This window comes from Homo sapiens, chromosome 1 (assembly GCF_000001405.40).
Source record: "Homo sapiens chromosome 1, GRCh38.p14 Primary Assembly".
In the NCBI taxonomy this organism is placed as follows: Eukaryota; Metazoa; Chordata; class Mammalia; order Primates; family Hominidae; genus Homo; species Homo sapiens.
In genome coordinates this window covers 202,298,869-202,313,336 of record NC_000001.11, presented here as the reverse complement: position 1 = coordinate 202,313,336, position 14,468 = coordinate 202,298,869, and the positions used below count along the sequence as shown (strand labels likewise).

At 52.0% G+C, this 14,468-nt stretch overlaps 1 protein-coding gene across 19 annotated transcripts in view; it reads right to left on the bottom strand.

Moving 5' to 3' along the window:
• Nucleotides 1-14,468, bottom strand: part of LGR6 (leucine rich repeat containing G protein-coupled receptor 6) — a 125,963-nt gene that overhangs the window by 6,425 nt on the left and 105,070 nt on the right. For 13 of the 19 annotated variants that reach the window (NM_001017403.2, XM_047426931.1, NM_021636.3 and 10 more), the window contains 9 exons: nt 12,417-12,488; nt 12,102-12,173; nt 9,990-10,058; nt 8,707-8,778; nt 7,588-7,653; nt 6,398-6,469; nt 5,936-6,007; nt 4,161-4,286; nt 2,980-3,140 (listed from right to left, as the gene is read on the bottom strand). In NM_001017403.2, coding sequence (NP_001017403.1) covers nt 2,980-3,140; nt 4,161-4,286; nt 5,936-6,007; nt 6,398-6,469; nt 7,588-7,653; nt 8,707-8,778; nt 9,990-10,058; nt 12,102-12,173; nt 12,417-12,488 — 782 coding nt within the window. The remainder of the gene's footprint in view (nt 1-2,979; nt 3,141-4,160; nt 4,287-5,935; nt 6,008-6,397; nt 6,470-7,587; nt 7,654-8,706; nt 8,779-9,989; nt 10,059-12,101; nt 12,174-12,416; nt 12,489-14,468) is intronic. The other 6 variants (XM_047426928.1, XM_011509839.3, XM_047426932.1 and 3 more) reach the window with 2 other exon arrangements.

Here is a 14,468-nt window from a genome sequence, read left to right as displayed (position 1 = left end):
AGTCCCCAATGGGAGAGAAAGCACTTCTACCTGAGTCAGAGGCTGGACTAGATCATCTTTAATGTTCTTTTCAATTCTAAGTCCAGGCTTTACACTTTTTTTTTTTTTTTGAGATGGAGTCTCGCTCTGTTGCCCAGGCTGGAGTGCAGTGGCATGATCTCGGCTCACTGCAAGCTCTGCCTCCTGGGTTCACGCCATTCTCCTGCCTCAGCCTCCTGAGCAGCTGGGACTACAGGCGCCCGCCACCACGCCTGGCTAATTTTTTGTATTTTTTTAGAGATGGGGTTTCATGGTGTTAGCCAGGATGGTCTGGATCTCCTGACCTTGTGATCCGCCTGCCTCGGCCTCCCAAAGTGCTGGGATTACAGGCGTGAGCCACCGTGCCCGGCCTTACACTTTTTTTTTCTTATTCACTTTTGCAGTGTTTCTCAAACTAGGGCCTGTGAACTCTAGGGGGTTGCAGACATGCTGGAGGTCCACAAATTCTATACGAATTTTGAAATGAGAATCTAGAACATTTTATAATCTATAAAGACAAAACATTTTTTGCAGTGATAATCCATCACTGAAAGGCTTTTTAAAGAATAAGACAAGTTTCTCAGGTCAGACTGGAAATGTGTCTGAAGACCCAAGTTGGGGAAAGAATGGCTTGTCTTCAAAAGGTAACTGTACAATCTTCAGGTTTAAGAGACAGCATCCTGTGGGCTCTTCCTCCATCATACAGGGCAATGGATAGGTGACTCTGTTTGTTGCACTTGTTCCATCTTTGGTTCACAAAGTCTGTTTCCTGTGTGGATCCTTCCTCCTCACTTAAAGGGTAAACACCATCAGTTGGGAGCTTTCCCAGGAGGCAGGAAGACTGTGAAGCTGCTCCTGGCCCAGACACCATCAGGGCAGGTCGGAGGCTGAGTCGTGCCCACAGAGTCCTGGCATTTCCTCCTCTCTACCTTTCACTCCCTGCCCACCCCTGCTCTCCAGAAAGAAGTTCAGCAATTCTTTGAAATCAAAATGCATGAATGAAACACAAGGGGTGAAACCCGTGGACTCTGTCTGAGGCTGGGAAAATCACAGCCAAGGTGTTAAGTAACCACTCTTCAAACGAGGAGGAAATCGAATCTGGCTGGAGCAGCAGCTCCTGGCTTTCCTTCTCGAGGCTCATTAGCTCCCACAGGAAGTGGGGGGCCCTGCCCTAGCTCCCGTTACAGGCGGCAGGCAGCCCACGATCTTGACGCCCTGTGGTTCTCCAAGACCTAAGCTCGGTGGAAAGTTTCACCTTGAGGAAGGAAAGTTTCCATTCTTCCTTCCAGCCCCCTGAGGGAGTGTACAGCAGACATCCGGGAATGTCCCCCGGGGACAGCTGTCTGCTGGCCCAGAGCCAGCCAGGCTGCTGGGCTGCTCCTCATCGGGTCCTCATACCCTCCCTAGGGAGGTGTGTTAATACATTGGGAAGAAGGCTCTCAGAGACCCCCAGGTTGCCTGCCCACCATTTGCCCTCCATACACTGTGCCCCGGACTCCACAGTTGCACTCTCCCTATACATGTACACCAGAAGGCACCAGTCCTCAGTAGTAGCGATGAGCATACTTCATCATTTATGGAATCTTTTAGTCTTCCCCAACAGCCTATGAGCTATCCATTATCTTTCTCATTTACTTATTTATTTATTTAGTTTTTTGAGACAGAATCTCACTCTGTCACCCAGGCTGGAGTTTGCAGTGGTGCGATCTCAGCTCACTATAACCTCCGCCTCCTGGGCTTAAGCCATTCTCCTGTCTCAGCCTCCCAAGTAGCTGGGACTACAGGCGCATGCCACCATGACTGGCTAATTTTTGTATTTTTGGTAGAGAAGGGGTTTCACCATGTTGGCCAGGCTGGTCTCGAACTCCTGACCTAAAGTGATCCACCCGCCTTGGCCTCCCAAAGTGCTGGAATTATAGGCTTGAGCCACCGCGCCCAGCCAATTATCTTTCTCATTTAAAGATAAGGAAAGTGAGGCTCAGTATGGTTACATGACTGGTCCAATGCAATCCAACTGGTGAATGTTGTAGTTGGGATTGGACCTCAGTTTTGTCTACGCTGTAATGAGATGTTTTTCTTACATGTTTATATTTGATTTTTCGTTTGTTTATTTTCTCCATTGAAATATTGTGGAGAGTTAGAGATGGAAAAAGAATACCCCAAAGCAGAGGACCCCTACTCTCTCCCTCCTAATTCTGCTTGTGTTCTGTAATACGGGCAGGGGGAGAGGGAAGCCCTTTTATCTGCCCTTGGTATCTAAGATACCACTTAGTAAATGATCCCTCAGAACCCCCTTGGCTGCCTGCCTCCAACATGTGCCTTTTACCCTAACTCTTCCAGAAACACAGATGGCCCAAGACAGCCTGCACTGGAATGGCCCTTCTCAGTGAAGGTCTCTTGCACCTGGCGGCCACGGAAGTCTCACTTTCAGACTCATGGGGCAGACTGGAGGTGCAGGATGGACTTGGACAGCAATAACCCTACACTGTTCCTTTTGGTTCTAGGACATATTATGAGGGGATTCTTTTTTTCTGGAAGTAGGTTTAATTCAATTGATTTAATTAAATCCTATTGGCTCAGATTGATAAAATAAGGGGTCTGTCTTCTCTGAGAATACCCTGAGGTTGAAGGAGAAGAAACATGTGGACCACAAGGGGAGGGTTAAGTGAGATGGTGTGTGAGAGGCACTTTGTGAACTGCAAAGGGCTAGGCAGATGAGACATTGCCACAGCCATTGTTACCATCATTACTTTGTCCCAAGCACCTCTGGGTGTAGTCTTGGAGAGACAAAGTGCAAACAGAGGTAGAGTTTCCTCCCAGGTCACAGGCAGCTCCTCCCACCTCTGTAGGGCTTCCCTCTGCAGCTGCTGTCAGATTCCCTCTCAGGTCCCCCAAGCATCCCCTCTAACTTCCTCTCCACAGCCCACTACCCTCCCCAACCCAGGGCCCCTGGTCACTCACAGTGGTTCTCTGCTTGTCTGGCAAGGAGGCCCAGGGGCCTTTTTGAAGACTCCTCATCATCAAGGTGAAGGTCTTCAGCCTCCCACTGCCCAGAGGCCTTGAAGAAGCTGGCACACATCCCATAGGGACAGCACTGGTAGGCATAAGGCACCTCCAGGATCCTGGTGGGGGAGAGGCAGGCTGATTGGCTGCCTCAGCATCTTTGGGGTCTAAGACCTAAGTCTGATTTAAGAGATCTGCAACCCAGGGGCTGGGCACTCAGTGTCTGTCCTTCAACTCCCAAGTTCCCTGTTCACTGTGCTGGCAGTCTCCTAGGCATTCTTTGTAAGGGCCTTGCAGCCTGACTCCTGATCTGAAGGGCTCTGGAGGCATTTCTGTCTTTCTTTGTTCATCTTGGCAAGTGAGATGGGGAAAGAAACATTCTGCCCATTGTTTAAGGAGTCCTCTCTGCTGGCTCAGAGCGGGCAGAGGCTTCCCCAAGCTCACACAGCACTGCCAGTGCTCTGCTTCTTCTCCCAGGCAACACCTCCTCTTTTATATTTAAGGCCACATGGATTCTTCTGGTGATTCTTCACTCTGGCCCTCAGTGAGACCTGCACCCTATCCCTCCCCCACCTCTGGGCATATTGGAGCTGGATTTGGTGCCCTCTGAGGGTAAGTGCAGAGGCCCTAAGGGCATCTCATTAGTGTGCAGCAGACAAGGCTTGGGCCATGCAGGCTGCACCACTGCTGCTGCATGGAAGAGGCCTGGATGTCATTAGCACCACGGCCTGGCTGCGCAGCTTGTTTTCCACCCATCAGTGTCCTGGGCTCTGCCCTGATTCCAGGGGCTCAGATGCTGCCCAAGTGAGGACAGATAATCTGGACATGTGGAACCAGATGGGGTGCAAGGAGGGCTAGGGGGTCTTCACATCATCTTACTTCTATCACTCTCAGGTCCCAGTGCTCACTAGCGTTGGAGCTTGGGACAGGGGAAAATGCCACCAAGGAGATAAGGAGGAAGGGGAGGCATGAACCAGGCCCCTCTTGGTCTGTAGGTGGTCAGGTGAGCCCTTCCACTAAATCTTGGTCAAACCCTAAGCCTCTAGGCTCTTCTCAGGGTGGGGCCATCTGGCTTTCTCTCTGTCCCTCCAGGGTCTCCAGCTGGCCTACCCAGGTGTTGGGGAAAGCCAGTCCCTCACCTCAGTTTTGGGAAACTGTCCTTGGAGAAGGCCTGGGAGAGAGCAAGGTTCCCTTTGAGCTTCAGATGCATCAAGCCCCCAAGTCCAGCCAGGGGCAGTGTGGTCAGCTGGTTGTCTGTCAGGTCCCTAGGACAGTGGATGGTCAGGGTTATTGGCAGTCAGTGGGATTGCTGAGGGGGCAGGGCTGTGCTGAGAATGTGGCCAGTGTGCCTGGGATGGAAGCAAGAGGAGAGGAGCAAAGGACAGGAGAGAAGCTTAGAAGAGAGCATTGAATGCCGAGGGAGGAGGGCAGCCAAGAGTTGCTAGAGGCACCATCTGCAGGTTGTTCATTCTTTTATTTGCTCATTCATTCAATACATAACGGTGCCAACTATATACCAGGGACTGTTCTAACTTAATGCCAAGCTGTCCCAATTTGTAGGTAACAGAGCTCCCTCAACCACAGTTCCTGTGCCCAGTTCTAAGTGCCATCCAGGAAGCCCTGCCCACCCGCTTGGGGAACCTTCCTGTTGTCGTTTATCCCCATCCCCCTGCCTTTCCTCCTACTTTTCTGATGATATAAGAGGGCTGAGTCTGGGACTGGACAGAGCTGGTCATCTGGCTACAAGCAGGGATTGGGTCATCCATTCCATCTTGTAGGGACTGCTTTGTAGCCAGAGGCGAGGACATGCATTTTCTTCTACTGGAGGCGCATTAGAGGAAGCCCAGGGTTCCAAACCAAACGCTAAGACCACAGACTGTGCGTCGTGGAAACAGCCCTGGACTGGAAGGCAGGAAACCTGGCACTGTCACCAACTCGCTGTGTAACCAAGGGGAGCCACAAATCTGCCTGAGCTTCAGTGTCCTCATCTTTCAAAGGGATAAAAATATCCACCCTACCTATCTGGCAGGACTAGAGCAAACAGGAGAGGGAAGACGGAGGTGAGAGTTTTGCAAAGCCACGGCCCCAGCCTGAGGAGGAATGTGTGTGCCTGCTGGGAGTCCTGGCCCTTGGCTTTGAGTAAACTTCTCCTCCTGGGCCTTGGAGGCCTCACCTGTGAAGTGAAGCGGGTGGGGCTGGATGGTCTCTGAGGCCAGGGCTGGAGCTAGCCCAAAAGAAGTCTTTGTGTTAACCAGAAAAGGGCCCAGTCTAGGTAGATGTGCTTTTAGGAGTCCAGCTTGGCAAGGAGGTGGCAGGATGTCAGCTCCCTCTTGGGCAGGAGTGCTTGCGCAGTGAATAACCTGCCCCACAGTACATGGCAGCTGCAGCAGAGGCCCCTTCCAGCCCTGACATAATGACCATGTAGCCAACACTGCTCACTCTCTGTTTACATCCTATGTAATTTAAAGGACCTGAGGTCCCCTGCTGCCTCACAGAATGGCAGTCCTCTACAGCAATGCTCAAGCAGGGAACCCCTGAGCTCTCTGAGACCCTGGCTCCCACATCTACTTCCACCCTCCTATGTGTGAAGGGATTCCAGGCCCAATATATCCTCTTTGTTGGTGGATAGAGAGGATGGGGATGGGACCGAGGCAGGGGGGATGAGGAGGGCTGAGGCTGCCAAAATACTGCAGAACATTAGCAGATGATGTTCCAGAGCTTACAAGAGGCAGGATCTCTGTTTATCAGGCCCCACACTCTGTCAAACGGATTGTCAGAATGATTGATTAGGCTGAGGCCCATCTCCCTGGGATATGCATGTTCCTGCTCTGGGGTGGCCCTTCTGCCTCCATTGGCCAGCCCATAGTCCCGACTGGCCCCCAGCATCCTGGAGGAGAATGCAGCAGGCACTTACAGCTTGACCAGGGAGTGCAGGGTGGAGAAGGCCTCGGGGTGGATGGACCGGATGGCGTTCCAGCTAAGATCCCTGCAGGCAGAGAGGGTGTGACAGGAGGGGACAGTAACATGTGGAGGACTCACTGTTCCCATCATGGGCTCCCCCTCACATACCCCCATCTGACCTGCCCCCAGTAACAGTAACCTTTGCCTTTTGGGGAAGGTACCTGCTGCTGCCCAGCTCCTGAGCTGGCTGTGGCCCCAGGAACAGGGACATGACAGCTTGGCTCCAGAGCCTCAAGACCTCCTGGGTGCCAGCTAGAGAAGTGTGTGTGTGTGCTGGGGGTGGGGGCTGTGGAGCTGGGAGGCGATGTGCATGTCACATTTGCTTAAATTGTACACATGTGCTATGACAATGAGCATGCCTAGCAGAGGGACACGGTGGCTCCTCCATGGCCCACCCCTGGATGTGGGTACTCACAGGGCTTGCAGGGAGCTCAGCTGGCTGAAGGTGTCAGCTCCAATTTCCCAGATGCGGTTGTGTTGGAGGCCGCTAGGGCAGCAAGAGAGGCTGGATGAGCCGGCAGGCTCAGACCCTGGCTCCGCTCCATGCCCCCCGAGCACTGGGAGGAAGAAAGTAGAGCCCCCCACTTCTCCTGGCACAGGAAGAAAGGGCCCAGCCCGAGGAAGTCACCAGAATTAAAGGGAGCACAAGGGGATCCGGTTGCCTTGGGTAAGTGGGTCAGGAGACAAAGCCACAAAACCATCCCTGTGGCCCAAAAGGGAGTCAGCTTCCAGTGTTCCCACTGGGCCTGGCTCCCAGCCCAGCCAAACTGGCCCCCACACCTCCCATCACCATGGGTCCTCCAGACCCTAGCCCAGAAGCAGAGCACCGCCCAACCCAAGTGACTGGCCGGAACTGGGAAGCAGAGCTCAGTAGACTGGTTGAATGGGAGATGGACCCTGGGCCTCAGCCATGCAGAAGACCCTCCTTCCCTTGGCACCTAGACAAACAGGAGACCCTCATATCTGTACCCTGCCCCAGCCCCAAAATGCATGGTCCTGCCTAGAAGCAGGGTACAGACACAGGGAAGCTCAAGAGGCCATGCTGGCTTGAGAAAACAGGAGCTGGGTTAATACAGCTTAGAGAATTTTTCAAGTGATATTTTCTTTGTGACCTTTGAATCCCAGGCTTGTTCTTCCACATATGATTATGTATGTCTGTGTGTAATATGCAAACACATACACACATATGCATGTGCGTGTTTAGAGGTATGGAAAAGGAGAGAACATGCTCCAAAATGCAGGGTGCTTCCAACTCCTTAAAGCCTTCTCCGGTCCATCCCACTGGGCCCTGATGTGACCCTGTCCCTCCACTGGTTCTAATCACTACTGCATTTCTGTGTTGCTACTGATTTATAAGGAGCCACCTTGAGACTCCTTTTGGGCACCAGCTCCTGGGTCGGTCTTCTGCTGTGAGTCCTAGGGCCATTGTGCAGGCCTCTGCCAAGCTCTCAGCCCTAAACTCTGGGTTAAACAAACTCAGAAAAGAGAAGGAAGAAATGTCAAAGTGTGCATTGGCCCTTACTGATGCCCCCCATCACACCTCCCTACAGGACTTGCTCAGGGTCTGGCTGGCGTGCTTTTGCCTCTTCCCTACCCCAGACTCACATTTCCTCCAATTTCTGACACCTGTGCAGGCTGGGCAGCTCCTCAATTTGATTGTGAGACAGTTCCCTGGGGAAAAGAGAAAGGCCAGGGCTGGGGTGAAATGGTGGCTATCTGAGGGCTGCTCGGGGACGGGGGGCTCTAGCCAGGACTGTGCTTTCCTGTCAATTAGCTGAAGGCTGTGGGGACCCCACAGGGACATGGCTGTTGAGGCATCTCACACCAGGGCACCAGTCTCCTCAATTCACTTTCTCTGCATTTCCTCCTACTAAGTCCCACTCCTCATTGGGCCTAGATGGGACTACCCAGGAAGTGAGAGGGGCGTGGTGAAGAGGAAACAGGCAAAGAGTCAGGGAGAGGGGCACTGAGCCAGCCAGCAGAGAACACATTGGACCTCACTGAGCAATGCCAACCCAAGCACCTGCAGTCACCATTTATGGAGCTGGCAGGAAAGATCAGAGCTGGAGGCCCTTAGGGATCATCTGGCCCAACTCTTTCACTCAGCAGATGAGAAACCTGAGGCCCACAGAGGGGACAGGACCTACTAAAGGACACACCACCAGTCAGTGGCAAGGCTGAGTCTGGAGCCTGTGTCTCCGGACCCCCAGCCTAGGGCTCTTTCCACACACTATGCGTTGGTCCACCCATCTTGAGCTGAGGGGCTATGGTCCCTGATGAGGAGCCTCAGATTCAAGTTGGAGTCCAAGGAGAGAGGAAAACTCCCCTTGACTTCAGAGGCCACTTAAGTACCTCCACAGTCCCAAGATCCCAAGAGGGGACTAATTTTCTTGTGTAAAATTACAGTAATTATGTCATTTATTGGTATTATGCACTAGGTGCTTTACATATTTTTTCCAACCCTTACAAATTGACTCCCATGTTATAGACGAGGATATCGAAGCTCAGAGACTTTAAAGAGTGAGTCCAAATCAATACAGCTAGTAAGTGGCAGAGCTGTGCCTCAAACCCGGTCCTTCTGGGGTAGGCTCTCAGCAGGAGCCTATGCTGCTCCATTCTCCAGGAAGGGAAATGACCAAGTGGGACAGAAGCAGGAGAGGCCTTTTGTGGGACATGGGGGTAGGGGCACAATGCCAAGACTGTAGAATTCTTGTGAGCACTCACAGGACTCGGAGCCTGGGCAGCTGTTGGCACATCCCCGATGGGAGCAGCCGGATGCCTGCGCGGGTCAGGGTCCTGCAGGGAGAACAGAGACAGAGCTGGCACCAGGCCCAGGGCCCTGCCATTCCCAGCCACCCCGCTCCAGCTCTGGACCTGATACTGTCGTGGGATGACGGAGCTAACAAAAGAGAGAAATGGAGGGAGAGACAGGGCAGGGGGTGGGGCTGTGGGGACAAAAACGAGCAGACACTGGCATCTGAGCACCAAGCTCCCTTGGGCCTAGAGGAGCTGGGGGAGGGGAGTGGAGAGAGAGGGCCACAGCCCAGGGCTCTGCTCCAGCCATCCCCATCCCATCCCCACCCCATGTCTCATAATGGTCTCAAGCAGCACTGGGCCTGTAGGACAGGGACACAAATCTTCTCTGCTGTAGGGACCTTAGAGGAGGGGATGTCCATGGGCAAGTGTAGACAGAAAAACACCGTAGTGGGACCATGGGACACAGGCACAGAGTTTGGTCCCTGTGCCTCGGAGGAGGGAGAAGAGATGGGATAGAAGGGAAGAACCAGGAGCTGGGCTGGAGAGGGCTGTGGGGGCAGGTTGGAGAGCAGGCTTGGCTTCGGGCAGGGTGTCCCAGGAAGGACCCAAGGCCAAGGTCATCTTTGGGGAATAACTACTTCCCTCATGGAAAATTTTCCACATGCCAGTGAATCTAGCGGGGAGACAACGGAGGCACAGAGGAGAGCCCCAGTCCCAGTGGTGCCATGAATGAACTTTGTGGTGTGGGGCAGGGCAGCCGACTTCCTGACACTCATTCTGGGTGTTTGCTCGATTGTTTCATTTCATTCATTTAAATGTATTGAGGGCCTACTATGCGTCGGCACTCCTGCCCTCTATGCCACAGGAGATAATAATAGAAAATACAAGAACGTCTTTGTTGGAATCAAGCTTCAGAAAGGCAAAGACGGGTTTTCACAACCCTCCTCTCCATCACTTCAACCCTCAGTGTACCTGTGGCTTGGGGTTAGGAGCTCTAAATTAATACCTGAAAACTCCAAGCATGGTAAAGAGAGAAAGACCAGCCTCCTCACTGCCATCCCATCTGCCACCTGCTGACCTTGCCTGTGGGCAGTGCCACATCAGGAGGAAGGGGATGGAGCCAGTAGTAGAGACAGGCTGGATAAAAGGGAAGCAAGGAACCTAGACAGCCTTCCAGGGGCAGGGAGTGGAAGAGCTCTTGGGAATGAAGCTGGGGCGATAGATAAGGTAGGGAGAGAGAAGCCACTCACAGGATCTCCAGGCTGGTGGTGCCTTTGAGATCTGGAAACTCCTGGATGTCCATGGCACCATTCAGAGATCTGGAAATAGAGACAATGAGCTCTGAGGGGTGGGGTCAGAGCATCTCAACATCAAGACTCTCAATTCTCCATTTTGTCTCCCCTCCGGGACTCCTCCTTTGGGGGCAATGTCATGCTTCCCTGCAATCTTCCTCAAGTCAGCCACGCAGGCCCTCGTGGAGGCTGAGCCATACTTAGCAGGGTCCAACCAGCCATTTGCTTAAGTTTGCTCAGCACACCCTCGCCCAGACAGAGCTGGGTAACCTCAGCATTCACGCTTCAGCTTGCAAAAACCCCACATGCAAGCAACATGGGAATGGCCTCTGGTTAATAGACAACAGCTTGGGTGCTTCTGGAGAAGCCCTTGGCTGCTGGGTTTTGCTTATTAGAACCTGAGATAGGGTCACCCCTAAATTGTCATCTGCTGGAACTTTATTAGAACTATCAGTTCTCAGCCGGGTGTGGTGGCTCACACCTGTAATCCCAGCACTTTGGGAGGCCGAGGCGGGCGGATCACCTGAGGTCAGGAGTTCGAGACCAGCCTGGCCAACATGGTGAAACCCCATCTCTACTAAAAATACAAAAAGCAGTCGGGCGTGGTGGCGGGCGCCTGTAATCTCAGCTACTCGGGAGGCTGAGGCAGGAGAATCGCTTGAACCCAGGAGGCGGAGGTTGCAGTGAGCTGAGACTGCGCTATTGCACTCCAGCCTGAGCAACAGAGTGAGATCCTGTCTAAAAAAGAAAAAAGAAAAAAGAGAACTATCAGTTCTCTTAAACTGCTTTAGACTGGTGGTTTTCCTCCTTCCCACCATCTCCTATTTTATTGAGGACACGGACCCACATGGGGCCTGCATGCAACAGCAGCGCAGAAAATTGAGTGTTGTGAAAAGCCCTGAGGAGGCAGCGTGGGGTCCAGAAATGAGCCCAGAATCTGAAATTAAAGGGTTCTGGGTTCATGCCCAACAGGGCCTGAGTACCTCATGTTCCACCTGTAAATCGGACCAATAACACCTACCTCACAGGGTTACGATGAAGATGAAATGCCGTAATGAACGTGAAAGTTAAGTATGTGCTTTGGAGATGTCGGCTATGTTACTGTGACGCCACAGTAGGCTGACAGCAATCCATGGAAGCTTTTTCTTTTCTGAGACTGAGTCTTGGCTCACTGCAACCTCAGCCTCCCAGGTTCAAGCAATTCTCCTGCCTCAGTCTCCCAAGTAGCTTAGCTGGGACTACAGGCATGCACCACCACGTCCGGCTAATTTTTGTATTTTTATTTTGAGACGGAGTTTCATTCTTGTTGCCCAGGCTGGAGTGCAATGGCGCGATCTCGGCTCACTGTAACCTCCGCCTCCCGGGTTCAAGCGAGTCCTCTGCCTCAGTCTCCTGAGTAGCTGGGATTACAGGTGCCCACCACCACGCCCGGCTACTTTTTTTGTATTTTTAGTAGAGATGGGGTTTTACCATGTTGGCCAGGCTGGTCTCAAACTCCTGACCTCAAGTGATCCACCCGCCTCAGCCTCCCAAAGTGGTGGGATTACAGGAGTGAGCCTCTGTGCCTGGCCCCATGGAAGCTTTTTGAAGAAGTGGGACTTGGGCTGGAAATTAGAGAATAAGAGAGGGGAAATAGAGAGCACCTTCAGGCCAAGGGTGATAACGATGGCACAGCAAAGTGCCCAGGGATCTGGGCTCCAAGGCCACAGGAGAACCAGCCTTGAGAACCCACCATATTCAAAACTCCCAATTATTTCTGGAAAAGCTACCGTGAACAGGATAAAACCCAAGAGGCCAGATGAAAGTCCTTGACTATGGAGATGGACCTTCCTTGTCCCTTTGAGACCTGGGAAGAAGCCACAGTTCAGGGAGGTGGAGGGAGGCTATTAAATTTAGAAAGAGGTGGGAACGGGTCTGAGCAAAGCAGAGGCCTGCAGCCTTGAAGACCACGCTTTGCAGTGGACTTGTGCCTTGCAAGGGAGAGATCCGCAGGCGATAGGCAGGAGAGAGCAAGAAGGAGTGAGGAAAGGGGGAAGTTCAGGCTGCAGCAGCCTTCAGGAGCCAACTTACAGTGTGTGGAGTTTAGGCAGGTACTGGAATGCCGATCTTCCCACAAACTGGATTGGGTTATCATAAAAGTGTCTGGAAGAAGAAGGTCCAAACACCTAATTGGGTTTTTCAGGCCTTTCTGCTGGGATTAAGGCCAATCTCTGCTTTCTTCTCCTATCAATGTAGACCCAGGAAAGAACATGCAGGGAAAGGCAACCCCTCCCATACTTCTGCCTCCCTGGTGCTTCCTAGGGAAGTCCCTCCTGCCTTCCCATCCTCTGTCCTCCTCCCTGAAACACTGTTCGGCATTAAGAGACCAGAGAAAGTAGTACTCACATCGTCTGTAGCAGAGGGTTCCCCATGAAGGCCTTTTCTGGGATGGCCTTGATGTTGTTGTTATGGAACCCCCTGGAAGACAACACCAGGAACCAGTGAGGATTTGGAGAAAGGTATAGAGAGGGAGAGGCATGGAATTCCACAGGGCTTTTGGACAGCAAGCTAGACAGTCCATAAGACAAAAGAGGCATTGGCCTGGAGATTCCAGGTTCAGATTCAAATACTGCCTGTGATTTTTCTTTCTTTCTTTTTTTTTTTTTTTTCTGAGACAGGGTCTCTGTTACCCAGGCTGGAGTGCAATGATGCGATCTTGGCTCACCGCAGTGCAGCCTCGACTTCCTGGGCTCAAGCGATTCTCCTGCCTCAGCCTCCTACATAGCTGGGACTACAGGCATGTGCCACTGCACCTCGCTAATTTTTTGATTTTTTTGTAGAGACAAGATCTCACTTTGTTGCCCAGGCTAGTCTAGAACTCCTGGGCTAAAGTGATCCTCCTGTCTCAGCCTCCCAAAGTGTTGGGATTACAGGTGTGAGCCACTGCACCCAGCTGATTTTTCTTCCTGTTCAATTACACACCCTCTTTTCCCTAACAAGTGTAAAAAGAGTGAGGGGTGGAGACATGGCTGCAGGCCTCAGGAAGCCTGTGGGAGCAACTCAAGAGCAAGAGGCTGAGTTCAGACCCCAGGAAGGGAATCCTCTCCTTAGTCATTTGTCGTGAGAGCCCTGGTGGGTCCCCACAGAGGAAGCCAAGGGTGTGTGAGAGGAAAAGGAAGATACAGAAAAGACACAGCTTCCAGGGGATCCCAAGTGAGGGATGTTCCTCAAATGGAGGCTGGCTTGGCCTCAAGGCCCTAAAATAAAGAAACAGAAGTGTCAACAGCACGCAGCCAGGGGGATAAGGTGCGGAATGGGCCGCTGAATGACTGTGGATGGCACTATGGGAAAATGAGGACTGAGGCACCCAGCTGAGAGTCTGGGAGTCTGGAAGCCAGAATTATGTGTTTGGTTAGTTGGGAAAAACATTTCAAAATAAATAACATGTTGGACTGAAAAGTACATAACCTGTGCGGAGCAGGCTCCTTTCCTTCCCTCTCTTTTTCTTTGGAAGTTTCTGGCTTCTCTGTCCCCCTGGACTCTGCTCACCTCTGTCTTCCTCCTGCCATCCCCATCGTGACTTCCACCTTCATGCTGTCTCACTCACAGCTTCACGCTCAGACACCTCCAGCCAGTGCCACCCACCCAGGCCTGTTTGTTCATTAATTTATTCCTCTCATCTGCTCATTATGTTTTTCTTAAACACCATCTTTGTGTCTAATGTTGGGCCAAGCTCTGAGGGATTTAGAAGTTTCTAAGACAGGGGCCCTGTCCTCAAGCAGCTTTCTCTCAATAGATGAGAGAGAGAGAGATGGAGATAGACAGGTACACCCCCTCCCATATATTTTTGTCCCTGCTAACTTAGGTCTCCTCGCTCTTCCCTAATGTTTTATTATTTCCCGGCTCAATGCTTTTGCACATCCTGCTCCCTCCATGCCCTCTTGATAGATCAAATCTCATGCTTCTCTCATGCCCCAGATCAAAGGAAAAAAGTTAGACCTTGGTGACTCTGGCAATGGAGAAATTCCAATAGTTTCTCACTCAGACTTTTTTTTTTTTTTTTTTTTGAGACAGAGTCTCACTTTGTCACCCAGGCTGGAGTACAGTGGTACAATCTCCGCTCATTGCAATCTCTGCCACCTGGGTACAAGTAATTCTCATGCCTCAGCTTCCCAAGTAGCTAGGACTACAGGTGTGCACTACTACGCTGGGCTGATTTTTGTGTTTTTAGTAGAGATGGGGTTTCACCATGTTGTCCAGGTTGGTCTCGAACTTCTGACCTCAAGTGATCTGCCCACCTCGGCCTCCCAAAGTGCTGGGATTATAGGCATGAACCACCACGCCCGGCCAGACTATTTCCTCTAGGTGGTCCAGTTGTCCCCTATGTGCTGCCTACATCTGGCATTCACACCTTCAAACTTCTGGATGAGGCAAGGGAGGTGGCATGGGGCTAGTACT